Source organism: Homo sapiens, chromosome 4 (genome assembly GCF_000001405.40).
Source record: "Homo sapiens chromosome 4, GRCh38.p14 Primary Assembly".
Lineage (NCBI taxonomy): Eukaryota > Metazoa > Chordata > Mammalia > Primates > Hominidae > Homo > Homo sapiens.
The window spans coordinates 99,069,306-99,097,129 of record NC_000004.12 but is presented as its reverse complement, the minus strand read 5'-3'; the positions used below and the strand labels follow the sequence as shown (position 1 = coordinate 99,097,129).

The 27,824-nt window shown below is 40.0% G+C and overlaps 1 protein-coding gene and 1 long non-coding RNA gene across 2 annotated transcripts in view, besides 12 other annotated features; one reads left to right on the top strand and one right to left on the bottom strand.

Annotated features, from left to right (window-relative positions):
- Window positions 1–8,273, bottom strand: part of LOC100507053 (uncharacterized) — a 212,500-nt gene extending 204,227 nt beyond the window's left edge. Inside the window, exon 1 of the long non-coding RNA NR_037884.1 lies at window positions 7,846–8,273. This is a non-coding gene — a long non-coding RNA (uncharacterized LOC100507053). The remainder of the gene's footprint in view (window positions 1–7,845) is intronic.
- Window positions 7,144–8,397: a promoter, noted in NCBI's record as "FokI promoter fragment". NCBI's record gives the evidence for it as "EXISTENCE:reporter gene assay evidence [ECO:0000049][PMID:1446828]".
- Window positions 7,144–8,412: a biological region, named in NCBI's record as "ADH5 promoter". NCBI's record gives its function as "regulatory_interactions: ADH5".
- Window positions 8,310–8,359: a silencer, noted in NCBI's record as "silent region_15582". NCBI's record gives its function as "represses an Ori minimal core promoter by ATAC-STARR-seq in GM12878 lymphoblastoid cells {active_cell/tissue: GM12878}" and the evidence as "EXISTENCE:reporter gene assay evidence [ECO:0000049][PMID:35858748]".
- Window positions 8,312–8,327: a protein binding site, noted in NCBI's record as "Sp1 site C-2". NCBI's record gives the evidence for it as "EXISTENCE:protein binding evidence [ECO:0000024][PMID:12004059]".
- Window positions 8,312–8,327: a protein binding site, noted in NCBI's record as "Sp1 site C-2". NCBI's record gives the evidence for it as "EXISTENCE:protein binding evidence [ECO:0000024][PMID:9867805]".
- Window positions 8,321–8,334: a protein binding site, noted in NCBI's record as "Sp1 site C-3". NCBI's record gives the evidence for it as "EXISTENCE:protein binding evidence [ECO:0000024][PMID:9867805]".
- Window positions 8,329–8,347: a protein binding site, noted in NCBI's record as "Sp1 site C-1". NCBI's record gives the evidence for it as "EXISTENCE:protein binding evidence [ECO:0000024][PMID:12004059]".
- Window positions 8,329–8,347: a protein binding site, noted in NCBI's record as "Sp1 site C-1". NCBI's record gives the evidence for it as "EXISTENCE:protein binding evidence [ECO:0000024][PMID:7721811, PMID:9867805]".
- Window positions 8,329–8,347: a protein binding site, noted in NCBI's record as "Sp1 site C-1". NCBI's record gives the evidence for it as "EXISTENCE:protein binding evidence [ECO:0000024][PMID:9867805]".
- Window positions 8,342–26,152, top strand: ADH5 (alcohol dehydrogenase 5 (class III), chi polypeptide). Its single transcript, NM_000671.4, has 9 exons — window positions 8,342–8,441; window positions 11,914–12,015; window positions 15,014–15,155; window positions 15,678–15,765; window positions 20,207–20,426; window positions 20,578–20,838; window positions 22,081–22,216; window positions 24,419–24,557; window positions 24,689–26,152. Exons 1-9 carry the CDS (start codon window positions 8,430–8,432, stop codon window positions 24,711–24,713), a joined length of 1,125 nt encoding a protein of 374 aa, NP_000662.3. The 5' UTR covers window positions 8,342–8,429; the 3' UTR covers window positions 24,714–26,152.
- Window positions 8,350–8,371: a protein binding site, noted in NCBI's record as "Sp1 site B". NCBI's record gives the evidence for it as "EXISTENCE:protein binding evidence [ECO:0000024][PMID:7721811, PMID:9867805]".
- Window positions 8,350–8,371: a protein binding site, noted in NCBI's record as "Sp1 site B". NCBI's record gives the evidence for it as "EXISTENCE:protein binding evidence [ECO:0000024][PMID:9867805]".
- Window positions 8,389–8,412: a protein binding site, noted in NCBI's record as "Sp1 site A". NCBI's record gives the evidence for it as "EXISTENCE:protein binding evidence [ECO:0000024][PMID:9867805]".
- Window positions 26,153–27,824: the final 1,672 nt, after the last annotated feature.

The window sequence follows — 27,824 nt, the reverse complement described above, 5'->3', positions numbered from 1 at the left end:
ATACCAGAATCTCTGGGACACATTCAAAGCAGTGTGTAGAGGGAAATTTATACCAGTAAATGCCCAGAACAGAAAGCAGGAAAGATCTAAAATTGACACCCTAACATCACAATTAAAAGAACTAGAAAAGCAAGAGCAAATACATTCAAGCTAGCAGAAAGCAAGAAATAACTAAGATCAGACCAGAACTCAAGGAGATAGAGAAACAAAAAAACCCTTCAAAAAAATCAATGAATCCAGGGGCTGGTTTTTTGAAAAGATCAACAAAATTGATAGACCGCTAGCAAGACTAATAAAGAAGAAAAGACAGAAGAATCAAATAGACACAATAAAAAATCATAAAGGGGTTATCATCACCGATCCCACAGAAATACAAACTACCATCACAGAATACTATAAACACCTCTACGCAAATAAACTTGAAAATCTAGAAGAAATGGATAAATTCCTCGTCACATACAGTCTCCCAAGACTAAACCAGGAAGAAATTGGATCTCTGAATAGACCAATAAAAGGCTCTGAAATTGAGGCAATAATTAATAGCTTACCAACCAAAAAAAGCCCAGGACCAGATGGATTCACAGCCAAATTCTACCACAGGTACAAGGAGGAGCTGGTACCATTCCTTCTGAAACTATTCCAATCAATAGAAAAAGAGGGAATCCTCCCTAATTCATTTTATGAGGCCAGCATCATCCTGATACCAAAGCCTGGCAGAGACACAACCAAAAAAGAGAATTTTAGACCAATATCCTTGATGAACATCGATGCAAAAATCCTCAATAAAATACTGGCAAACCGAATCCAGCAGCACATCAAAAAGCTTATCCACCATGATCAAGTGGGCTTCTTCCTTGGGATGCAAGGCTGGTTCAACATATGCAAATCAATAAACATAATCCAGCATATAATCACAACCAATGACAAAAACCACATGATTATCTCAATAGATGCAGAAAAAGCCTTTGACAAAATTCAACAGCCCTTCATGATAAAAACTCTCAATAAATTAGGTATCGATGGGACGTATCTCAAAATAATCACAGTTATTTATGACAAACCCATAGCCAATATCATACTGAATGGGCAAAAACTGGAAGCATTCCCTTTGAAAACCGGCACAAGGCAGGGATGCCCTCTCTCACCACTCCTAGCAACATAGTGTTGGAAGTTCTGGCCAGGGCAATCAGGCAGGAGAAAGAAATAAAGGGTATTCAATTAGGAAAAGAGGAAGTCAAATAGTCCCTGTTTGCAGATGACATGTTTGTATATCTAGAAAACCCCATTGTCTCAGCCCAAAATCTCCTTATGCTGATAAGCAACTTCAGCAAAGTCTCAGGATACAAAATCAATGTGCAAAAATCACAAGCATTCTTATACATCAATAACAGACAAACAGAGAGCCAAATCATGAGTGAACTCCCATTCACAATTGCTTCAAAGAGAATAAAATACCTAGGAATCCAACTTACAAGGGATGTGAAGGACCTCTTCAAGGAGAACTACAAACCACTGCTCAATGTAATAAAAGAGGATACAAACAAGTGGAAGAATATTTCATGCTCATGGATAGGAAGAATCAATATCATGAAAATGGCCATACTGGCCAAGGTAATTTATAGATTCAATGCCATCCCCATCAAGCTACCAATGACTTTCTTCACAGATTTGGAAAAAACTACTTTAAAGTTCACATGGAACCAAAAAAGAGCCCGCATTGCCAAGTCAATCCTAAGCCAAAAGAACAAAGCTGGAGGCATCACACTACCTGACTTCAAACTATACTACAAGGCTACAGTAACCAAAACAGCATGGTACTGGTACCAAAACAGAGATATAGACCAATGGAACAGAACAGAGCCCTCACAAATAATACCACACATCTACAACTATCTGATCTTTGACAAACCTGACAAAAACAAGAAATGGGGAAAGGATTCCCTGTTTACCAAATCCTGCTGGGAAAACTGGCTAGCCACATGTAGAAAGCTGAAACTGGATGCCTTCCTTACACCTTATACAAAAATTAATTCAAGATGGAATAAAGACTTCAATGTTAGACCTAAAACCATAAAAACCATAGAAGAAAACCTAGGCAATACCATTCAGGACATAGGCATGGGCAAGGACTTCACGTCTAAAACACCAAAAGCAATGGCAACAAAAGCCAAATTTGACAAATGGGATCTAATTAAACTAAAGAGCTTCTGCACAGCAAAAGAAACTACCATCAGAGTGAACAGGCAATGTACAGGATGGGAGAAAATTTTTGCAATCTACTCATCTGACAAAGGGCTAATATCTAGAATCTACAAAGAACTCAAACAAATTCACAAGAAAAAAACAAACAACCCCATCAAAACGTGGGCAAAGGATATCAACAGACACTTCTCAAAAGAAGACATTTATGCAGCCAACAGACACATGAAAAAATGCTCATCATCACTGGCCATCAGAGAAATGCAAATCAAAACCACAATGAGATACCATCTCATACCAGTTAGAATGGTGATCATTAAAAAGTCAGGAAACAAAAGGTGCTGGAGAGGATGTGGAGAAATAGGAACACTTTTACACTGTTAGTGGGGCTGTAAACTGGTTTAACCATCGTTGAAGACAGTGTGGCGAGTCCTCAGGGATCTAGAACTAGAAATACCATTTGACCCAGCCATCCCATTACTGGGTATATACCCAAAGGATTATAAATCATGCTACTATAAAGACACATGCACATGTATGTTTATTGCGGCACTATTCACAATAGCAAAGACCTGGAACCAACCCAAATGCCCAACGACAGACTGGATTAAGAAAATGTGGCACATATACACCATGGAATACTATGCAGCCATAAAAAAGATGAGTTCATGTCCTTTGTAGGGACATGGATGAAGCTGGAAACCATCATTCTCAGCAAACTATCGCAAGGACAAAAAACCAAACATCACATGTTCTCACTCATAGGTGGGAATTGAACAATGAGAACACTTGGACACAGGAAGGGGGACATCACACACCAGGGCCTGTTGTGGGGTGGGAGGCGGGGAGAAGGATAGCATTAGGAGATATACCTAATGTAAATGACGAGTTAATGTGTGCAGCATACCAACATGGCACATGTACGCACATGTAACAAACCTGCACGTTGTGCACATGTACCCTAGAAGTATAATAAAAAATAATAATAATAATGCAAAACTCCCATAAGGCAGTTTCTCTGGCGACAATCCACGCTGTCTCACTCTTATGAGCAGCCCGGCCTGGAATATCACTCTCAGGTTGTACTGTATTCTGCACTTAACTTCCAATTTTTTTCAACAAATTATGCTGTACTTTAAAAAAAAATAAAAATAAAAACTTTGAAATCAGTTCGTCAATATCCACAAAATAATTTGCTGGTATTTTTTTACTGGGATTTAGTTAAATCTATAGAGCAAATGGGAATAAATGATATTTTGACAATGTTGTTTCAGAATATCCATGTACATGAGACATTTCTCCATTTATTTTTTTTCATCAGAGTTTTGTAATTTACCTCACAGATCTTGTACATATTGTGTCAGATTTCTACCTAAGCATTTCATTTCTGGGGATGCTAATGTAAATGGTATTGGGTTTTTAATTTCAGACTCCACTTGTTCATTGCTGGCATATAGGAAAATGACTGAAATGTGTGTATTAAACCTGTATCATGCAACCCTGCTATAATCACTTATTAGTTTCAGGAGACTTCTGTCAATTTTTTCAGATTTTGTAAATAGATAAATGTCATCTGTAAGCAAAGAGAGTTTTACTTCTTCCTTTCTAATCAGTATACATTTTATTGCTTCTCCTTGTGTTATTCCATTAGGTAGGATTTTCAGCAAGATGTTGAAAAGGAATGGTGAGATGGGACACCTTTTTCTTGTTCCTAGTCTTAGCAGGAAGTCTTCTAGCTTCTCACCATTAAGTATGATGTTAGCTGCAGGCTTTTTGTAGATGTTCTTTATCACATTGAGACAGTTTCCTTCTAATACTCGTTTGCTGAAAGTTTTCATCATGATTAGGTGTTGAATTCTGTGAAATGTTTTTTACTCCACCTATTGCTATAATTATGTTATTTTCTTCTTCTTTAGCCCATTGATGTGATGGATTACATTAACTGATTTTCTAATGTTGAACCAGCCTTATATACCTGGGATAAATACCACGTGGTTGTGGCATGTAATTATTCTTATACATTGTTGGATTCAATTTGCTAATACTTTGTTGGGGATATTTGTATCTAGGTTCATAAGGGATATTGGTATGTAGTTTTCTTGCAATGTCTGTGGCTTTGGTATTACAGTAATGCTGGCCTCATAAAACGAGTTAGGAAATATTCTCTCTGCTTCTATCTTCTGAAAAAGATTGTAGAAAATTGGTATATTTCCTTCCTTAAATGTTTGGAAAAATTCATCAGTGAACCCATGTGGGCTTTGTGCTTTCTGCTTTGGAAGGAACACTTGTTTGGTGTTCTCTAAGTTTCCTGGATCTGTGGTTTATTTCCTGACTTTAATTTGGGGAAATTCTCAGTCATAGTTGCTTCGAATACTGCTTCTGCTCCTTTTGCTTTCTTCTCTTTCTGGTACTCCCATACATGTATATGATACCCTGTTCCATTTATTCGTTTCTCCTCTTTGCTTTCTTGTTTTGACTGTTTCTATTAACATATACTCAAGCTCAAAGATTCTTTCCTTAGTCACATCCAGTCTACTAATGAGCCCATCAAAGGCATTTTTCATTTGTTACAGTATTTTTTCTGTCATTTATTCTCAATTCTTTCTTAGAATTTCCATCTCTCTGCTTACATTATCCATCGGTTCTTGCATGTTGTCTACTTTTCCCATTAAAGCCCTTAGCATACTGTAAAAAATAAAGTAGAGGTTCTTCTTCAAAGACTTTCCTGCCCATCTAATTAGGAATAAATGGTAACTTCTCTTATAAGCAAAATTTATTCAAAGACCTGTGCTCCTAAATATTTGCCCTGGCATGCTTATACTAGTCCAAGCAAGCACTAGGTCATAGCCTGTTCCTCTTCCTTATTTAAAAGTGTTTTTACCTTTCTCAGCATTCCACAAGTTACCTCCTCCTTCCTTTGTTCTCCTCTACCTCTGCCTCTTTTAAAAAGTTCTAAGTTGCTAGCAAGTCAGGACAAATACAGAATGTGAGGTCCCGTTCCAGACAATGGAAACCGGACACAGCAGTAGGGTGGATACATTAGGTTATAAATGACCCTGTCTCCTTTGTTTGGTGTACTCTCATGGCAAAACTGCTGGCCAGTGTACCCTTTCTGCAAAAGTAAAAATGGCCTTACTAAATTAAATTTATGTTCAAGTACTATTTCTTTACAGCACCGGGGAACAAGCATTTCAAACAATATTAATCATAGTTGTTTTAAATTCATGGTCTGATAATAGCAACATCCCTGTCATCCTCTGGGTTTGGTTCCACTGCTTGCTCTGTCCATTCAAACTATGTTGCCTTTTAATATGCCTTGTAATTTTGTATTGAAAGGCGGATATAATATACTGAGTCAAAGAAATTGCAGTAAATAGCCCTTTAGTAATGTAGTGGTAAGATACACGGGAAGGGGAAGTGTCCTATAGTTCTACCATTTTATCTCAGTCTTTTAGTGAGCCTGTGTCCCTAGGCTGTAAACTTCACAGTTCTCAGTTTGTTTTTTCACCCCCTTAGGTGGTACAGAATGTCTAGAGGGAGCTGGAGTTGGGTATTTCCTTTCCCCCAGGTCAGTTAACCACTTGTAAAAATCCCAGTACACTAGGCTCGAGTAAAATAGTTTCTTTTGTTGGCAAGTCTTGTTAAGAACAAAATGCACTAGAATTTTTCAAAATAATTCCTTTTACACTCCTCATGCAGGAAGCAATTGGGGATTTTTCTCTGATCTTCTCTGAGAATTCACGGAGGTAAAACTCACAAAAGTGTGAAAGCCCCCCTAAGATTGGGTCCCCCAAGAATCTTTAACTCTCAAACTAATCCACAATGAGCCTCTGGCAATTCATCAATTACAGCTCAGACTTTCCTACTCCAGTAACAGTTCCTGCAAAAGTGTGTTTCTATGGTAAGTTGTGATTCTTTGAATCCACCCATCTGTGTCTCTAATTTTGGAGAAGCTGTTTTCTCTGTGACCCCACTTCACTTACAGCTCTAAGAAGAGTTATTAATTTCTCATTTTTTTTAGCTTTTTAGTTGTTGTTAGGATGGAGTGATGACTTCTAAATTCCTTACATGTCAGACCAGAAACCTAAAGTCTTGCCTATTATTGTTAAACAAGGCACTACAAAAATGCAAGTGTCTCTTTCCAGAAAATAGACAATATATCTGCAATAGGGAAAAGAAAACTCTCTGCCAAGTCTTTTTTTTTTCCCACTAGAAATTGCTTGCTGCATTCCAAGCAGAAGTATTGACATACACAAAGGCCTGGAATCAAGAAAAAGCATAGTCCCTTTAAGGAACTACGAATGTTCCTTAAATGTTGGTGTGAAATTTGGCAGGAGAGCAGGAAATAAGGATAGAGGTATATACAGAAGGAAGTAATTCAGAGCCTGAGTGGCCTAAAGAGTTTGGATTTTATCCATTTGTTCTCCCTTGAATATTTTTAAATAGAAGAATGGTATTTATTTATTTATTTATTTATTTATTTATAGCCTAACTCATTCAAAAATTATTGAAGGAAAATAGGAAATGGCATTGATTGATGTTACGTTTTGGAAAGATCACTAACAGGGCATTCCTTTTTAAGTATTAGATTCAAGGGCCTGGCATCAAAGAAATCAGATGGGAGGCTCTTTCAGTAATCCTGTAAGAAATTATGAAAGCCTGAACTAATACAGCAGCAGTGGGGAGAGAGAGGCACAAGACCAGAGAGATATTTAGGGCTTGGTGACAAACTGAATGCAGGGACCGAGGGAGAGGGAGAAGTTGTGACTCTCATGTTTCTGGCTAGGGTAAGTATGTGGAGAGTGTCAACACACAGAGGAAAGAGTCCCTATAAGGAGAAAATATTAATAGGAGTTTTAGGAGTTGCATTCGATTGTGAGATATCCTAATGGAGACAGAAATCCAGTAGGCAGTTACATGTCCAAGTCTGGAGTTTAGGGGAGCCATCCTGATTGGAGATAATAATCTGGTAGTCATCTTTCCATAAATAGACGTTAAAAGCCAAAGTGTGAGTGAGAGAGTGGAGTGAAAGGACGGAAAGACTTTGGACAATCTTACCATATGTACCCGGAAAAGAGCCAAGAAAAAGACTGAAAGACAGAAAAGAGCAGTGTGTCTGACAGAGCTATTTTAACAAAATTCAGCGTTTACAACAGAGTTTAAGAGTAAACTGGCAGGCCAGGTGCGGTGGCTCATGCCCGTAATCCCAGCACTTTGGGAGGCTGAGGTGGGTGAATCACTTGAGGTTAGGAGTTCAAGACCAGACTGGCATACATGGTGAGACCAACCCCCTGCCCCCACTCCCAATCTCTACTAAAAATACAAAATTGAGCCAGCGTGGTGGCGTGTGCCTGTGATCCCAACTACTCAGGAGGCTGAGGCACGAGAATCACTTGAACCTAGGAGGCGGAGGTTGCAGTGACCCGAGATCGCGCCACTGCACTCCAGCCTGGGCGACAGTGCGAGACTCCGTCTCAAACAAACAAAGAAAGAGTAAACCGACAAATACTACATTCTCTCTCTCTACACTCTGGCCCACTCTTAACACAAAAAACTGTCCAGGATCAGGAGACTTTTTGTTCTCCTCATCTCCTCCTTCCAAAGTTCTCTGCCCACGTTCTACTGTCTCCCCAAAATCCTACCTACCCTTCAGGAACTGCTGGAATGGGAGCTTGGGAAGTTTCAGCAAACTCCTCTCTCCTCCTTTGTGGCCCCTTTATTCCCAAAGCTGTGTCCTCTCCCTATGACGAGTCCCTTGAGGGGCTGTATCTTACTCCTTGTGTCTCCAAGCACACATAATGTGTATTAGGGGAGGAAGCATTCGCCAGTGGAGCACAAAGCTGTTGCAGGTCTCTTACTGGTTCTCAGGCGCTTTCAGTGAAATTCCCGTTCCCTCACCGTCCACATCTGTAATTTGCAAGTCTTATCTACGATAACTGCTGTAAAGTTACACGGGGAAGCCCTTTCCCGACAAAAAAAACGAGTTCTGCAACAAGTCCGTCGGATTTTAGCAATGAAACCGGCGCCGTGCAGCCTCGCCGGCGAGTGCACCCTGGAACGCACAACTTAGCGGCACGCACCACAGCTCGAGCACCGCCCTTCCGGTTGGAGCCATTGCAAGCCCCCCCCACGCCCCGCCCCCCTCGCTAGGCGCTCGCCACGCCCATGCCTCCGTCGCTGCGCGGCCCACCCCGGATGTCAGCCCCCCGCGCCGACCAGAATCCGTGAACATGGCGAACGAGGTAGGGCCCGTTGAGCGGAGGGCCCTGAGTCCAAGGGAGGGAGTGCATGGCATGGGACTAGGCTGCTATCCTCGGGGGCGCGCGAGGCTCGGCGCCCAAGACGGGATCTGGCTCTTGGTTCTGAAACTGGGCCCCCAGCGAGCGGCTCAGAGGGGCAGAAAGAGAAGGAAGCTTTGTCTCGGCTCTTCAGTTGGGAAGCAGCTTTCTTTGCTGCTTCTGGGACAGTCGGAACGGGGTGGGGGGGTGGGAGAGCCGGAGAGTGGGGGGCAGGGGCTGGTCAGGTCGGTATCCCAGTGGAAATGGCTTAGGAGCGGCCACGCATTGCTTCTTACACGAAATTAAGTAACTCGCTCTGGGTCATTCTTGCAGCTTGCATACTTGGCAGAGCTGCAGCCAGATCCCGTGCTTCTAACTCCTAGGTTGCTTGTGTTGCATAATTGAGCCTACGCCTTAATTATTGTGCCTCCAAGGAGTGTATTTTGGAAAGACCCCTACGTCCCTTTCAGAAACATTTTCGAGCACTTAAATACCAAGAGATTTATATTCCCTCTAGTCCTCACGTAACAAACACCTCTGCGAGGTGTTATCCCCATCTTACCAAAAACTGAGGTTTGAGGTTGGTTGTGCTTGGTCACACCAACGATGGCGAGCTGGGATTCCGACCCAGGTCTGCTCCTCTATGACAAATTCATAAAATACAAATTAGACAGTAAAGAAAGGCAGAAATTACGAATAACATACTCAGTCTAAAGTTGCTGATTATTTTAATGTTTTGCAATTTTGGACATTTTCTAGTAAGACAAATGGCCTTAAACATATTGGAGTTTGAAAGAAATAAACTCTAAACAGTCTTTCAGACTTAAACTGGTAGTTGCTTTTCCTTATTACTGAGTGTCTTTATTCAGAGAAGGTGAAAGATTATAATTGTTACTATAGTTCAAATGTTGAAGTAGGGCCATTTCCCGCGGATTTAGAGTGGGGCTTTGTTTTGCTTAGAATTGTCAGTAAAAGGAAAAGGTTAGGCTCCATTAAGACATTTTTTAAAGGGGAGCAGGCCATCAAATTTAGTATTCTTGTTTCTTTGGATTCCTATGTTGCATAACTTAATTGTTAGTATTCTGAATCTGACTTGTGGAGTTGAAATTTATGGCACATTGAAATGAAAAAGGTTCTAATGCAGTGTCTGATTCTTTGTACTATGAGATTTAATATCTGCAATTTAATTTTAAAAACGATCATTTCCACATTTCCAACCTCACCAATTTACAGAGGCCATTTCCCTCCCCCCCCCCTCCCCCGCCAGTTCAGACGGAGTTTCGCTCTTTGTTTCCCAGGCTGGAGTGCGATAGCGCGATCTTGGGTCACTGCAACCTTTGCCTCCCGGGTTCAAGCGATTCTCCTGTCTCAGCCTCCCGAGTAGCTGGGATTACCGGCGCCCGTCACCATGCTCGGTATTTTTGTATTTTTAGTAGAGACGGGGTTTCGCCATAGTGGCCAGGCTGGTCTCCAACTCCTGACCTCAGGTGATCCGCCCATCTCGGCCTCCCAAAGTGCTGGGATTACAGGCGTGAGCCCCTGCACCCGGCCTACAGAGGCCATTTTTTATATCTCTATGTAGTTCACCTCTCCTTTCCCTCAACCGTTTGTTCTGTTGCTACCAATAACTACTAACTTATTTTGCAAAGCTATGCTGTGCCAAGGATTGTGTTAGGGACTTCATATTCTTTTTTTTTTTTTTTTTTTTTTTTTGAGACGCAGTCTTGCTCTGTCACCCAGGCTGGAGTGCAGTGGCGCGATCTCGGCTCACTACAAGCTCCGCCTCCTGGGTTCACGCCGTTCTCCTGCCTCAGCCTCCCCGGTAGCTGTGACTACAGGCGACTGCCACCTCCCCTGGCTAATTTTTTGTATTTTTAGTAGAGACGGGGTTTCACCTAGCCAGGATGGTCTCGATCTCCTGACCTCGTGATCCGCCCGCCTCGGCCTCCCAAAGTGCTGGGATTACAGGCTTGAGCCACCGCGCCCGGCCAGGGACTTCATATTCTTTCTTATTCAGTTCTCACAATCACCCTATATGTAGGTGTTTTACCACCATTTATAATTACCTTTTCCTCATCCTTCAGTATCCTGGTTAGAAGTGAAGCTCTCCCAAACCAAGCAAAGTTACACTCTTAACCTACTTTTTTTGCTTTCTGTATTACTTTGTGCCTGTCTCTTTAAATCACACTCTTTGTAATTATTAACTTTAAAGTCTGTCTCCTGTAAACCCAGTGGCTTACAACCTTTAGTCTGTCCACACATTTCTCAAGTGTAATGTAAACTAATTAGAACCTTTCTCATTACGTGTGATTCTCTTGTAATGGAGGGTATACATGACTATAATCTCTAAAGCAGGTCTGTGTGCTATAATTAGTCACGTGTAATTTTAAATTTTCAGTAGCCTCATTAAAAAGGAAAAAGTGAAGTTTTAATATTTTAATTATGTTAAATTACATTATTTATAATGTTGTTATAAATAAACTACCATTTCAACATGTAAGCAGTATTTTTAAAAATACTGTTGATGAGATATTTTTACTTTTCTTTGAACTAAGTCTTCAAAGTCCAGCTATATTTATAGCATATCTCAGTTTTGTTTGTTTGTTTGTTTGTTTTGAGACGATGTCTCGCTCTGTTGCCCAGGCTGGAGTGCAGTGGCACAATCTCGGCTCACTGCAACCTCCACCTCCCGGGTTCAAGCCATTCTCCTGCCTCAGCCTCCTGAGTAGCTGGGACCACACAGATGCGCACCACCATGCCCAGCTAATTTTTGTATTTTTGTAGAGATGAGGTTTCACCATGCTGGCCAGGTTGGTCTTGAACTCCTGACTTCATGATCTGCCCACCTTGTCCTCCCAAAGTGCTGGGATTACAGGCGTGAGCAGCCAAGCCCGGCCAGTGGTCATTTTCTAAGAGCTCAGTAGTCATATTTGGCAAGTGGCTGCTGTATTGGCCGGTGCAGTTACAAGGGATATAGCTCCTCACTGTTACACTCCTAATCCTCCTTCCCACCCTGCAGTTTTGCACCAAGCCGGTGGTATTCAGAACAGCCTGAGCAAAAGAATTTCTTCAGGCATATGTTAAGCATGCAGATTTCTTGGACCCCATGCCAGACCTGCTGAATCAGATTCTCTCGGAACTTGTGTTCTTAACCTGCTTTTGCATATGCACTGTAGAAGGCCATTAAATATTTGATGAGTACAACTTTTTAACCAAAAGATACTTTTCTATCTGACCAGGTAATCATCTCAATTAAATCATTTTTGATGTATACTATTTGTGTGAAATCTAAAAACATATCACTTGGAAGCATATGTTTCTTTGTGAATCTGTGATATACTTTTTAAGATTAGCATTAATCTGTATCTAAATTGGCTATTAAGTAGTTACTTGTTTAGGAGGATAAACAGCTTATTCCCTTTTTTCCCCACTTCAGGTTATCAAGTGCAAGGCTGCAGTTGCTTGGGAGGCTGGAAAGCCTCTCTCCATAGAGGAGATAGAGGTGGCACCCCCAAAGGCTCATGAAGTTCGAATCAAGGTAATGATACATTTAAGGCACTGGGAAAAAAAGAGACACAATGAGGTCTCTGGATAGATGAGTAGATCTGAGATCTGCAGAGGATAAATCCCAAAGGACAGTGTCAAAGAAAAGGTGTTGAAAGTCATCCAGCCTTACAATCACAACATCCTTCTCTTATCTTTCACCTTTGCAGCATGCTTCTCCATCTCTTTTAGTTTTGATCTTGGGCTGAGCAGCTATCCCCATGGGTCACTGGATTATTGCAATTTATCTTCTGCAGTTTAGGTTTAAGGTAACTCTGTAGGATACTCATTTTTCTGCTGATTAGATAACTTTAAATATATGCTGACACGTTAGAAACAAAAGAAGAAATGTTACCAGAAAGGGGTCCTTATTCTGACCCCAGAGAGGGTTCTTGTACCTCACGCAAGAAAGAATTTGGAGTGAGTTCATAGGATAAAGTGGAAGCAAGTTTATTAGAGAAGCAAAGAAATAAAAGAATGGCTTTTCCATAGACAGAGCAGCAGTATGGGCTGCTCAACCGAGTATACATATAGTTATTTCTTGATTATATGCTAAACAAAGGATGGGTTATTCGTGAGTTTTCCAAGAAAGGGGTGGGCAATTCCCAGAACTAAGGATTCCTCCCCCTTTTAGACCATATAGGGTAACTTCATGACATTGCCATGGCATTTGTAAACTCGTGGCACTGGTGAGACTGCCTTTTGGTGTACAAATGCACTATGATTAGCCTATAATGAGCCTTGAAGATGACCAGAGGTCACTTTCATTGCCATCTTGGTTTTGATGGGTTTTTGCTGGCTTCTTTACCCCAGCCTGTCTTATCAGCAGGGTCTTTGTGACATGTGTCTTGTGCCAACCTCCTATTTCATTCTGTGACTAAGAATGCCTAGCATCCTGGGAATGCAGCCCAGTAGGTAGGTCTCAGCCTTATTTTACCCAGCGCCTATTCAAGGTGGAGTCGCTCTGGTTAAAATGCCTCTGACAGAAATGGTCTTCAGTTTTGCTACAGCGACTTAAACAAGATTTGAGAAGAGGCTCCTGATTGAATAGAGTAATAAGCAAATGAAGTCAGCTTGCTTAGAGAGCTTTAAAATGCACCCACCCTGGCGGACAAGGGTAGGGTTCAGGGAATTCATTATTCTAGTGCTTCTCAACCTCTGGTGGCAGAGAAATGATGTTACCCTTGGAGAGAGGCATATTGTACAAGGTAGCCAGCTGGAGAGATCTTTGAAACCTTGGCATGTAGAAAACTTCATGTGTTTAGCATTCTACTACTCTCTACTTGTTTTGATATAAAATTAGTGCTTTAGAGTAGTGATCATTAACATTCTAGGAAGAGAGTCACAGCAAAAAAGAGCTGTGACTTGGAGTATACTTCCCCTACCATCTCACTTTCAAAACACACCACACATACTGGCTCATGCTCCCAAAGATCACAAATACCAGGTGGAGCAGACCAGGACCAAATAACGTCTTTTTATCTTTTTTTTTTTTTTTTTTTTTTTTTTGGAGACAGAGTTTCACTCTGTCGCCCAGGCTGGAGTGCAGTGGTGCGATCTCGGCTCGCTGCAACCCCTGCCTCCCAGGTTCAAGCAATTCTCCTGCTTCGGCCTCCCTAGTAGCTGGGATTACAGATATGCGCCACCACGCCTGGCTAGTTTTTGTATTGTTAGTAGAGACGGAGTTTCACCCTGTTGGCCAGGCTGATCTCCAACTACTGACCTCAAGTGATCCACACGCCTCAGCCTCCCAAAGTGCTGGGATTACAGGTGTGAGCCACCACACCTGGCCCAAATAACATCTTAAGGTCCTTTGCAACCCATACACAGGAATTTGAAATCATATAATAGTGTTTTTTTCTTCAAATTCAGAAATTAAGCTGACTGTGATTTTGCCACTGAAGATGTTTGTCCTGGATGTATTAAGTGCCCATACAGCTCAATGGGTATTCATTGTGCTCATTGAGCTGTATGGACACAATGAGTACAGCCATCTTCCCTGCAAAACTGCAGACAGGTAGCAAAGATTGTTACGTTGTAAGTGGATATATAAGCCAGGAGCAGAGACGCATAAATAGAAATACTCCAAGATTTTGCCTTTCTGTGCTTTTGGTGGCTTTAAAATATAAGTTACGGCTGGGCATGGTGGCTCACGCCTATAATCCCAGCACTTTGGGAGGCCAAGGCAGGCAGATAATGAGGTGAGGAGTTCAAGACCAGCCTGGCCAGCATGGTGAAACCCCATCTCTACTAAAAATATAAAAAATTAGCCAGGCCTGGTGGTACGCGCCTGCAGTCCCAGCTACTCAGAAGGCTGAAGCAGGAGAATCACTTGAACCCAGGAGGCGGAGTTTGCAGTGAGCCGAGATCATGCCACTGCACTCCAGCCTGGGTGATAGAGCGAGACTCTTGTCCCAAAAAAAAATAATAAGTTACTTGAAAGCCAGAGAGATAGAGATAACAGGCTTATTTAAATAGAACTTGTATGTGGTTTGTAAAAAGGGAGTTGGTTCCTCTGAAAGTTCTGAAATTTGGTCCAGACTCAAGCAGACTGGCCTATTTCAGAAATAGTCATTACCTCTTTAAAAATCATATTTCCCAGCTGTCATGAGGAAACTAGAAGTGAGTTGGATTCCACCTGTTTTGCACACAGGCGATGGTTCTCTCCATGCTTGAAGGCATAGTGCCCATAAAATGACCTTGTTTACCTTCTCTTGCTAACGCGCGCTGAAAGGGGGACTAGATGTTCCCTATTTCGTTGCATATAAATGCACCATTGCTTTTATGTACCACTAAAAAATTGCTGCCAATTCTAATTGTTAAGATGCCATGGATTATAAGCACATGCTGATTTTAGAGAGGTTAAAATATGAAAGAAATGTGTCTTAGAGTCAATGAAATATAGTATTATAATAAAATGACTTTTCTTGTATCTGTACCTCTGAATTGCATGCACACATACTTACACATTCGTTGTTTTAATGTCCTGATAGATCATTGCCACTGCGGTTTGCCACACCGATGCCTATACCCTGAGTGGAGCTGATCCTGAGGGTTGTTTTCCAGTGATCTTGGGACATGAAGGTGCTGGAATTGTGGAAAGTGTTGGTGAGGGAGTTACTAAGCTGAAGGCGGGTAAGGAGAATACTTGAACCACTTGTTTAATAATTTTGGCTTATTCCTATGGGGAAATTGTTTTTCTGATAAAACTACCCACTATTTATGAATAGGTATCATCTAAGTAGATTGTCAAGATTAAGTTGATTCCTCATCTGGGAAGCACAAATATTTGGATATTTTTTTCTCTCTGATTTTGCAGACTACTGTTTTTGTGAAACTTTTCTAAGTACATTTCCAAAACCAATTTTGGCATATTAAGCAAGAATTTTTAGAGATGCATCAATGAAGCAGGATTTTGAAGCATATAACTTCATTGTTCTTCAGTTATTGTTTAAAGAGTTTCATTTAGATAAAAATATTGAAACATACTTTTTGCATGGTCAGACAGTATCTGAATGATGTTACCTAGGTAAAGTTCTAAGACTTGAAGTTTTTAACTTTGCAAAGCCACATCCGTTGACAGGAATTTGCAAGGGCTGATGTTTTCATTTAGAAATAGATACTACCTATTCAGGATGTCTTTGCATTTGTTTCCAGGTGACACTGTCATCCCACTTTACATCCCACAGTGTGGAGAATGCAAATTTTGTCTAAATCCTAAAACTAACCTTTGCCAGAAGATAAGGTTAGTATCTTTTTATGTTCTTCTTAAAACACAAGTGCTGCGGGATAATTAAGGAATCACAGAGACCGAGGGGTTGAGGAGGAATTATTTAATAATTTAGGTTCATTAACCCAGTCGGATTAACGTTCAAAGGACTGAGTCCCGAACAAAGAGTCAAGCTACCTTTTAAGCATTTCGTGGGGTGGGGGGAGACCTTTGTAGGGGGAGCATATTACAGAAGCAAGAAACAAAGACAGTTATTCAACTGAGACATGCATTACATCATTTCTTATTTTTCAAGGAACAACGTGTTTTATGATTTGAGATGATCTGTCTAGTGACCTTGCAGCTGCACAGCTAGAGAAACAGAGTCTTCACAATGCGTGGGAAAGGGAGAGAGAAGGCTCACTAGCCACAGAAAAACAGGCAGTTAATTTTAAAGGACTCCAGCTCTTTCTCTTCCTCAGGGGGAGTTGGGTTTTCTTACATACAACTGAGTTTTTGCTTACACATTCTTTAATTTCTTTTAATTCCTGTTCCACAAGGTCATATTAACAATGATAAGAATAAATAATTGTGTGGCAGTTTATGTAGTGCATTGTACATCAGTGGTTTCATTCCATCTTTATAACAACCTCACTACTATCCCCATTTTCACAGATGAGAGAAGACTCAGAAATTAAGAGGTTTTGACACAGAGAGGGTACCTGGGCACAGCAACAGCCTTCTCTACCATTTGCGGTTTTCTGCCTAATTGTGCAACTGAAGAAACATTTATTTTTCACATGAGGAAATGTGTAGCTTGTAGAGGTGGCTGATTTAAGTAACTTGTGCAGCTCTCAAGGGGTGTCTGCCTTCTGTCTCCTTTCTACCCCATAAAAGAAAGAAGCGGGGGGATGTGAAGAGACCAGGGGAGTGACTCCACCTTATGCCTCACCCTGGTCTCATCTTGCCCAGCTGTGGTACCCTATGTTAACCTTGGCTGGTCTTCACAAAGGCGACTGGACCCTGGGCCCTCCCTGTCCCAGGATCCCCTAACCCCTACCCCAGAATGGTTTGTCATAATCTGGAAATTTGTTGGCTCATTTTTCTTTCAACTCCTTTATTTTTCATTGAACAAATCTCTGCTTTTGAAGAGTTGAGGTTATCTGCTATCTTTTTTTCTTTTCTCTCCCTCCCTCCTGCTGCAAAGAAAAGAACCAATAAGTTTTAGGGATTTTTGTGTGTATAGACATTGTCATCCGGATGTAACTTGCTTTGAAGCAGTGTTTCTGTTGTGAGTGTCTCTTACTGTAAATATTTGTTCATATTTTTGTGAATTCAGTACTGTGTACCATTGTATTAATAGTAACTTTTTATAAAGCAAACCATAAATATACTGACTTTTCTTACAGATAAAAGAGAAACTAAAGGGGTGTGCCCAGTATCACCAGCCGTTAAGATATAAAACAGAATTTTCTGTACCCATTCTCTTCACATAACAGCAGGCTAAATTTGCCAAACCATGTAGTAAGGAAAGACGTGCTTCTGAGATTAAACGAAATCATTTTTATGAACCACTGCCCAGTAAGTGAGAGTAATAAAACTTACCCACTAAGGCTATTAGGAAGACTGCAGGAGATAACCTAACTCCTTGACACAGAAAAGGTAGTTGTTTTTATTGTACTAGGTAACAACACTGAAAGAACTACCTCTTTGAGGAAATTTAAGATCCCCTTGTGTGTGTTCCGTTTTTTTTTTTAATTGAAGTAGAGCATGCATATTATAAAGCACTTAAGGTGTATAGATCTTAAGTGTACAGCTCAATGAATGATTATGTATATAAACACCTGTTGATTTGAACGTCACCCAGATCAAGATAGAGAACCCTGCCAGCACCCGATAAGCTCCCTCATGTCCCTTCCAAGTCAGAACCTACCTCCCTCTTAGGTAACCACTGTCCTGATTCTTCCTTTCACTGTGACCTTGTATAAATAGAGTCATGCAGTGCATGCTCTTTTGTCAGGTTTCTTTTTTTTCATAATGTCTGTGAGATATATCCAAGCTGCATATGCGTCAGTAGTTCCTTCTTGTTGCTCTGTCTTAATCCATTCAAAATACCAGTATTGATCCATTCTCCTGTTGATGGACATTTAGATTACTCCCAGTTTTGGGTGGTTACAGTTAATGCTGCTAGGAACATTCTTATTTATACATGTCTTTTGATGGATATAGGCATTGCTTTCTCTTGAGCATTTTCTTGAGATTATAATTGCTGAGTCGTAAGATATGCATCTACAGCTCTCTCGTGTACTTGTACCAGTTTACACTTGCACCAGCATTGTATGGGAGATCCATTTGTTTATAATGCCATTGACAAAATTAGTTTATATTTTTGGAAAACAAAATTCCATTTATTTTATAAAGCAAATCCAGTTACTTTGGTAAAACCAGAACCAAAAACAAAAAAATCTAATCACTTTGAAAGGGAATTTTAAACGCAGTCTGAAAGATTTTGCAACACATCAAATATAATAGTGGTGATGGGTTCTTTGTGATTGTAACCATTTAAATTCTTTCAAAGCATAAAATGTATTCCACATCACCTTTTGTTCAAGAAACTCCTCTGGAATACAGTGATTTCTCACATTAAGGAAGGCTAAACAAACTTAAATTGTTCTCATTAAGATATAGCAGTTATTTTTAGTCGGGTGCAGTGGATCACACCTGTAATCCCAGCCCTTTGAGAGGCTGAGGCAGGTGGTTCACTTGAGTCCAACAGTTAGAGAACAGCCTGCACATCTTGGTGAAACCCCCTCTCTATAAAAAATTTAAAAAATTAGCTGGGCTTGGTGGCACGTGCTTGTGGTCCCAGCTGCCCAGTGGCTGTGGTGGGAGGATCACGAGCCCTGGAGGTTGAGGTTGCAGTGAGCCATGATGTGCCACTGCATTCCAACCTGGGCGACCGAGTAAAACCCTGTGTCAAAAAAAAATTCTTTCTGATGGAGCTTTGTCACCTCTTCTTTGTTTCTGGTCATATTTATTTTTCTCTCAAAGGAAATGTATTTGCTCTTGAATCTAGAGACAGTCCATTTTCTCTTCATCTGTATATTTATTCATATGTATGTTCGAAAGAGTTTAAGAGTATACATCAAATTATAGTGTTCAGCCTGGGCAACATAGTGAGACCCCGTCTCTATGCCCCTGTAGTACCAGCTACTTGGTACTGAGATGCAGGAGGATCACTTGAGCTCAGGCAATCCTCCTGCCTCAGTGTTCAAGGCTGTGGTGAGCTATGCACTCCAGCCTGGGCTGTCTCAAAAAAAGCAATTATAGTGTTTATTTTATTTAAAATAACATAATTACTAAACATCAGTTCTGTGCCAGACACAATGCTAAAGCCTCATATAACATCTCATTAGACTTTTATAGCAATTTGTAAAGGAAGTTACCTATGTTTCTCAGCATTTTCTAGTGAGAAAATGAAGGCATAAAGATTAATTAACTTGCTCAGATCACACAGGATTTGAACCCAAGTGCTCTGACTTTAGGGTGGGTCCTCCTAAGCAAGATGTTACATCACCTCTGTTTAGAATAGCAAAAGTAATTTTTGTTACCATTTATTATATCAGTGGCCTTTGTAAGCTTTTTGGGTTTTCTTTCCTATTGGTGTAACCAAGTCACAGGCAAAACAAAGTGAAGAAGTAATTTAACTTGCATTATTGAGGACTGTTAGTTACACTTCAGAAAAATGCCTCCTGAAAGATATAAATTAGCCAGTTTGGCTATCTGTTTTCATTAGTTGATCTGGTTAATGGTTTGTAATCTCTACTTGCATAGATACTGGTTTTGACTTTATCCTTTATGATGTTATATTTGCTCACAGAGGTTGTTTTATTTTTTTTTATTTTTGAGACAGGATCTCATTCTGTCACCCAGGCTGGAATGTAGTGGCACAGTCACGGCTCACTGCAGCCTCAAACTCCTGGGCTGAAGTGAACCTCCTGCAGGCACGTGCTCCGCTACACCTGGCTAATTTTATTTTTTGTAGAGATAGGGTGTTGCTATGTTGCCCAGGCTACTCTTGAAATCCTGGCTCCAAGTTGTCCTCCTGTCTCAACTTTCCAAAGTACTGGGATTATAGGAGTGAGCCACTGCACCTGGCCCACCGTTTTAATGATGGGATTTTAAAATAATTCCATCTGATCCATAAGTTGTACCTTTTAAAATGAGTTCAGTATTCTGACAGTATGATCTAGAAGGATAGTGAATATTGGAAAAGATGGATAAGATTATAAATATCTTATAAATTTCCTTTATAAGGCATTGCTGCAAGGTGCTAAATTACTAATGAATATATTTGAAATTGTAGTTTACAACACTTTCTTAATATTTACTGGTCATTATTTTTAAAACATTTCTTTTTCCTGTGGGTTTTAAGAAACCTAATTCCAACTTGCCTTTTTCCTTTTTTTTTCTTTAGAGTCACTCAAGGGAAAGGATTAATGCCAGATGGTACCAGCAGATTTACTTGCAAAGGAAAGACAATTTTGCATTACATGGGAACCAGCACATTTTCTGAATACACAGTTGTGGCTGATATCTCTGTTGCTAAAATAGATCCTTTAGCACCTTTGGATAAAGTCTGCCTTCTAGGTTGTGGCATTTCAACCGGTTATGGTGCTGCTGTGAACACTGCCAAGGTAAGAGACTGACTTGGGTTTTTTGCTTCTGCCTTCTAATTTAATTCAGTGAAACTTTCCTGGAATAGTGAAATTGGCCAATCTGTATGAAACCCAGTGATTCTCTTGACTCTGGTAGAATGAGTACTTTATAAACTTTCTTTACTCCTAGTTGGAGCCTGGCTCTGTTTGTGCCGTCTTTGGTCTGGGAGGAGTCGGATTGGCAGTTATCATGGGCTGTAAAGTGGCTGGTGCTTCCCGGATCATTGGTGTGGACATCAATAAAGATAAATTTGCAAGGGCCAAAGAGTTTGGAGCCACTGAATGTATTAACCCTCAGGATTTTAGTAAACCCATCCAGGAAGTGCTCATTGAGATGACCGATGGAGGAGTGGACTATTCCTTTGAATGTATTGGTAATGTGAAGGTCATGGTGAGTATGGGCTTCATTCCTTTTTAGTTTATGGAACTGCTTTTTTTGAAGTGCAGTTTTAGATTAAAAATTGTTTTGTTTTGGCAAAGGAAAAGTCTCTTAATAAGAATTTTTCTAGTGAAAGAAGGGGAAAATATCTATTTGAACTACAATGGGAAATGATACAAGAACAGCTCAGGGAAGGATGAGAAAAGATGTTTCTTTGCCTTTCAATGCCTGCTAAGTGCATGTCTCATGAAATGAAAAGACAGAATAAAGCAGTTGTGCAGAGCATGATCTTTGGAATCAAATACACATCCACTTACTAACTCAGTGACCCTGAACAAACAGCTTCTCTCAACCTCAGTTTCCTCATCTGTAAAATGCAGGTACAGGTTGAACATCTATCCCTAATCCAAAAATCCAAAATGCTCCAAAATCTGAAACTTTGAGCACCAACATGATGCTCAAAGAAAATGCTCATTGGGGCATTTCAGATTAGGAATGCTCAGCTAATAAATACGATGCAAATATTCCAAATCCGAAAAAACCCAAAATTCAAAACACTCTGGTCCCAAGCATCTCAGATAAAAGATAATCAACCTGTAGTAACAACACCTACTTAAACCTACATAGACACTCAGTAAAAGTATTACTATTAATTCTGCTGCCTGCTTTTTAAAATTAAATCTTTTAGAGTTTTGAACTACAGTTTACTTTTTAAAATAGAAAGCAAATAAACACTTCAAATTATTTTAATTTATGTTAATATTTAACCAGGTTAATTTGTTAAAATAAATTGTTCAGGCCGGGCATGGTGGCTCACACCTGTAATCCCAGCATTTTGGGAGGCCAAGGCAGGTGGATACTTGAGGCCAGCCAGGGCAACATGACGAAACCCCGTCTCAACTAGAAATACGAAAATTAGCTGGGTGTCGTGGCGCACGCCTGTAATCCCAGCTACTAGGGAGGCTGAGGCACGAGAATCACTTGAACCCAGGAGGTGGACATTGCCATGAGCCAGGATCATGCACTACACTCCAGCCTGGGTGCCAGAGGGAGACTCTTATCTCAAAAAAAAAAAAAACAACAAAAAAAATTAAAATATAAATTGTTCAATAACATTGAGCTCACTAAATGTTAAGTTTGGCCTTTTGTTGCCATTATCTTTAAAAACTATGCCATCTCTAGAAGTTTCGCCAGCAGTTGTTCTCAGGAAAATGCACTGACTTCTGTGATTTGGTCATATCTCTGTGCCTGCAGAGAGCAGCACTTGAGGCATGTCACAAGGGCTGGGGCGTCAGCGTCGTGGTTGGAGTAGCTGCTTCAGGTGAAGAAATTGCCACTCGTCCATTCCAGCTGGTAACAGGTCGCACATGGAAAGGCACTGCCTTTGGAGGTAATTCGATGGATGAGATGACTGCATTTTCTCTTTTGTTAGTTGCATTGGCAGATGTTTAATCCCAGCCACCTAATTTTTTTTATATTAACAAGAATCTTCATGAGTTCCTTCTCATTATAAGTTGTTGCATGCAAGGCTGTTTTATTAGAAGGGATTCAGACTCAATCACTATTTACCCCTGGGACTTGGGGGGGAGGGTGGTGCTCACCTGAAACATAGGACCACTTGGTGCATATTCTATAAAAGAAAAATATCAATATTCTGATAGTGAGGAAGTAGTTATGGGTATAGCAGGGACAGGAAGTTGATTGCAAAGTAAGCAAACAGCAGTATCAGCCATGGTGTGTTTCTTGTGGACCCAAGTAGCTTGTTACATTTTTATTCATTTTTCCAGGAGTGCAGTGATCACTGGATGTGATCATATATCTGTCTGATTTTAGCAGTAACCAATATTGAGTCTCAAACTGAAAATATTTAATTGGACAAAGCCTTATCATAAAATCAAAAAGCTGCTAGACTGATCATTTTTCCCTTTGTGATCCTAAAAAGTCCTTGGTGGTTTGGGGTTGCGGGGAAACAGTTTCTATCTTTTCCATGGTTGCTCAGCCAGAGGAGAGAAAAGATGTCACAACATGTTTGTATTTCCCAACAGTTGTGAATGAATGAGTCTAAAGTTTTTAAAGGGCTTTAAAAATATATATTTATATTTCATCCTCCTCCTAAAGAAAAAAAATCACATAGTGTGTGTTTTGAATGATCTGTGTTTAACGGGTTGTCTTTTAAGGTCCTCTACCTCATATTATGCCAGCTTTTTTGAAGGCCAGAAGAAAAGATTTGGAAAATATGCTAAAATGAGGGGTTTGGCCAAAATCTTCGTTCTTTATAACTACAGAATTTGCCTTAGAAGATGTCAATCTGACTTGACCTCCTCTTCAAAGCTCTAGATACATGTCACAGCAGAGTATCATAGAAGAAACTTTTTAAGCCATGTATGCTATTCGGGGGTATCATTTTGGAGTCCATAGCTGTATTTTAAAGGGCATTCTAAGCCTGGCTGATCCAGGGGATCTTGCTAGTAACCTCTAACTGAAGCCTCATTCTAGCACATGCTGGTTGGGAAATTCATTGTATCATTGAGGCCCCTTGCATTGCTGATCTAAAGATAATAGAAGCTTTTGTCTAGAGAACAGGAGTGACTGTGGTCATCTCAGTTACCAGGACATTTAAAGGAGAAAGAAAAAATCCCTACCATTTGTGGGGAAAGAATAATTAGTGGAGAATATAAGAGAGGAGATTTGGAAAAGGCTCAAAAGAGGTTTGAAATATCGTTGAAAGCATCCTTAGAAGGTGAGAAGGCTTCTTGTTGATTGTATTCCTTCTTTAGATACAGTGAGAAATTGAAGTACCTAATTTTATTTAAAATCTTACCATTTAGTCGGGCCTGGTGGCTCACGCCTGTAATCCCAGTACTTTGGGAGGCTGAGGCGGGTGGATCACGAGGTCAGGAGATCGAGACCATCCTGGGTAACATGGTGAAACCCCATCTTTACTAAAAATACAAAAAATTAGCTGGGCGTGGTGGCAGGCGCCTGTAGTCCCAGCTACCCGGGAGGCTGAGGCAGGAGAATGGCGTGAACCTGGGAGGCAGAGCTTGCAATGAGCTGAGATCACGCAACTGTACTCCAGCCTAGGCGATAGAGCGAGACTCCGTCTCAAAAACAAACGAACAAACTTAGCATTTAGCTAAAGAGTTCTACTTCATTTTTCAGTTTCATAGTTTTCTGTTCTGATATGCTATCCCTATTTCATTGTTAAATTTAAAACCAAGGAAATAAAGTCCTGTATTAGTTTTTTTCTTCCTTGAATATCATGATTATAGAAATCTTTGCTGATGTGGACCTAAATAAGCTTGTTGTTGAGACTTCCAGAGTTCTGTCCTGGGTAGTTTAAAAGTCTCAATTGGCCAAAACTTTAATGAGGTTTTAGTAAATCTTAATACAGAGGAAGGGAAATTTCAAAAGTATTTACTTCTTCACTGAAAGGTGTTGGTCAAATTCTTCATCTCCATGCTATTTTGGAGTTTCTCATTACTCTTTAACTCATCAAAAAATTCATTCTTTTAAATGCCTTTTGTCCTCAGCTAAGTAACAAGCATACTGCAGAAATTTGTTGAATAAATTAATGTGTGATTTCTTTTAGGATGGAAGAGTGTAGAAAGTGTCCCAAAGTTGGTGTCTGAATATATGTCCAAAAAGATAAAAGTTGATGAATTTGTGACTCACAATCTGTCTTTTGATGAAATCAACAAAGCCTTTGAACTGATGCATTCTGGAAAGAGGTAGGCTTTCTCTTTATATATCATAGAATGTAATAATGATGTTGAGTTTGAGGGGATGGAGAGTCGAAAAACACAATTTTAGTTGTCTTAAAGGTATCATTTAAAACTTAGTATGTTGCTTCCTTTTACAGCATTCGAACTGTTGTAAAGATTTAATTCAAAAGAGAAAAATAATGTCCATCCTGTCGTGATGTGATAGGAGCAGCTTAACAGGCAGGGAGAAGCGCCTCCAACCTCACAGCCTCGTAGAGCTTCACAGCTACTCCAGAAAATAGGGTTATGTGTGTCATTCATGAATCTCTATAATCAAGGACAAGGATAATTCAGTCATGAACCTGTTTTCTGGATGCTCCTCCACATAAATAATTGCTAGTTTATTAAGGAATATTTTAACATAATAAAAGTAATTTCTACATTTGTGTGGAAATTGTCTTGTTTTATGCTGTCATCATTGTCACGGTTTGTCTGCCCATTATCTTCATTCTGCAAGGGAAAGGGAAAGGAAGCAGGGCAGTGGTGGGTGTCTGAAACCTCAGAAACATAACGTTGAACTTTTAAGGGTCTCAGTCCCCGTTGATTAAAGAACAGATCCTAGCCATCAGTGACAAAGTTAATCAGGACCCAAGTCTGCTTCTGTGATATTATCTTGAAGGGAGGTACTGTGCCTTGTTCATACCTGTACCCCAAATTCCTAGGATGGCATCTGCCCTTCAGGGGGCACTAAAATGTATTATTGAAACAGCATTCTGGGCTTAAATAGGTGTATGTATGTGTTGGTTGTGACTGTACTATTTCTAGTATAGTGAACTACATACTGAATATCCAAGTTCTCAGCACCTACTTTTGTCAAATCTTAACATTTTGCCACTTCGAGATCACATTGCCATTCCTCCCCTCCAGAGGTAACAATTATCCACAATTTGATGTTTATCATTCCTGTGTTGTTGTACTTTCACTGTGTATAACCTAAACCATCTACTCTTTAGTACTGTTTTATATATTTTTAAGCCTCATACTTGCTCATTCTACAGCTTTTTTCACTCATTATTGTATAATTATATCTGAAGCTCTCGTTCATTAATTTTAGTCCTGTGTAGCAGAATTCAATTACGGGAACTACCATAATTTATCTGTTCTCCAGTTGAAGGCATGAAGTTGTTGCCAGTTTCTGTATTATAACACTGTAGTGGAACATTCTTCTGCATTGGGCTCACTGCGTGTTACCTAAGACGTATCACAGAATAAACACATTTAGCCTTATAGACATTGCCAAATTGCTCTTCAAAGTAAATGTGAGTTTTTGTGAATTACATGAGTATGGAATGGTGTTTTATTATGACTTTAGTTTGCATTTTCCTCAATTCTCGTTAAATCCTTCATTCTAATGGACATTTTATTGTGAAGAACCTGTTCATATCCTGTGCTCAACTTTGTATTGAATTATTTTTCTCTGAATAATTTTTAGGAGTTCTTTTATTCTAGACATCAATCATTTGTCAGTTTTATATGTTGCAAATATCTTCTAGTCTATCTTGTGACTTTTCTTTTTACTTTATGGTATTTTGTTGAATAAAGTTTTAATGTAGTCACATAAATCTTCCTGGTGGTGGTAAGTAACATTTAGGTTATTTTATCCTGAGAAGTATAAAGAAGCAAACAAAAATGGTCCAGGATCTTACCATCCTGATAATCCTTGACATAAAAATAAATTAATGAATGCAATATACCTAAGGGTTAGAAAATATAAATTGTTAGGAAATTATATAATGAGAAAGAAAAGCTATACACCTGCAAAAAAATGGGTGATTACTGTTAAGTTTCTTACGTATCTTTTTAGGAGTTTCTATGCACACAATAGCATATATATCCTCTAAAATTACACGAAAGGAATACTATCAACACTACTCTGTGAACTTTTTTCTCCACATGATAACATAGAGTTTATATCAGTGCATCACGTTTACCATGCAAATATCTTTTGGTTGGATTGATGCTATGTGCTTTTTCAATTTATTGATATGGTTTAAATGCTCCCACAGAATTGTGTGAGAGAGCAATATGTCATTGATTGAAAAGTGGGAAACAAACTGGTAGTAATGGTCAGGATTTCCCCTTTTCAGAACTTTGGTGCATTTGAAGTGCCTGACAATGTAGTCCAGCTTCCCTCCTGTTTTACCTAGAGGGCTGGAGATATGAGGGCCCAAAGGGGCCACAACTGTTATCTTAAGTGGACTGAAAGGAAGACGAAATTAAAACTAGCTTCTACTCCACTTGTAGGAAATGTGCTTTTAATCTTTGGTGTAGCCCAGCCTTCTAGGAACAAAAGTATCCTATGTTGGCAACTGCAGTAACAAAACAGTTATGGAGAGTATGGAGGAGAGCCAGTAACTCCTAAAGGTCTTGTTCCTTTGACTTTTCTTCTCAAACAAACATGAGATATTCATGAATTGCAATGGCAAACGTTTTTTAGGTTCGCCAATATGAAAATGTAAAGCAGTTTTAAGATGATTAATATTAAAATAGGCCAAGTGCGGTGGCTCACAACTGTAATTCCAGCACTTTGAGAGCCCAAAGTGGGAGGATCACTTGGCCTCCGAAGTTCAAGACCAACCTGGGCAACACAGATGTCATCTCTAGAAAAAAAAAAAATTTTTTTTTTTTAATTGGCCGGGCATGGTGGCATGTGCCTGTGGTCCTAGCTACTAAGGAGGCTGAGTTAGAAAGATGGCTTGATCCCAGGAGGTCGAGACTGCAGTAAGTCATAATCGCAGCACTGCACAGCCTGGGCAACAGAGTGAGACCCTGTCAAATAAATAAATAAAATACTACTCTAATTTTTGTAGCTAGCCTATTATTGAATTTGCTTTTCATTTCTGGCACAGTTAAGTACATACTCTTGAGCCAGCTGATTAAGTTTAGTATTAGCATTTCCTGGCTGAAAGCACAACTATCTCTTTCAGAGATCCAGTATAAAGAATCAGTTTTACAAAATCTGTGCTTGAGCCCGGGAGGTCGAGGCTGCTTTGAGCTGTGATTGCACTACCGCACTCCAGCCTGGGTGGCAGAGTGAAACCCTGTCACAAAAATAATAAAAATAATCAATTTTACAAAATCTTTACTATTAGAATTCCTGGGTCATGAGACTCGGCTATAGTTGTCAAGTCTTTTTTTTTTTTTGAGACAGAGTCTGTGTTGCCCAGGCTGGAGTGAAGTGGCACGATCTCAGCTCACTGCAACCTCTACCTCCCGGGTTAGAGCGATTCTCCT

What these genes read in the sequence shown, in the direction of transcription:
- ADH5 (NM_000671.4), top strand. An exon ending in CTCATGAAGTTCGAATCAAG is followed by an intron (nt 12,016 to 15,013) that starts GTAATGATACAT and finishes ATGTCCTGATAG; the next exon opens with ATCATTGCCACTGCGGTTTG. An exon ending in CTGATGCATTCTGGAAAGAG is followed by an intron (nt 24,558 to 24,688) that starts GTAGGCTTTCTC and finishes TTCCTTTTACAG; the next exon opens with CATTCGAACTGTTGTAAAGA.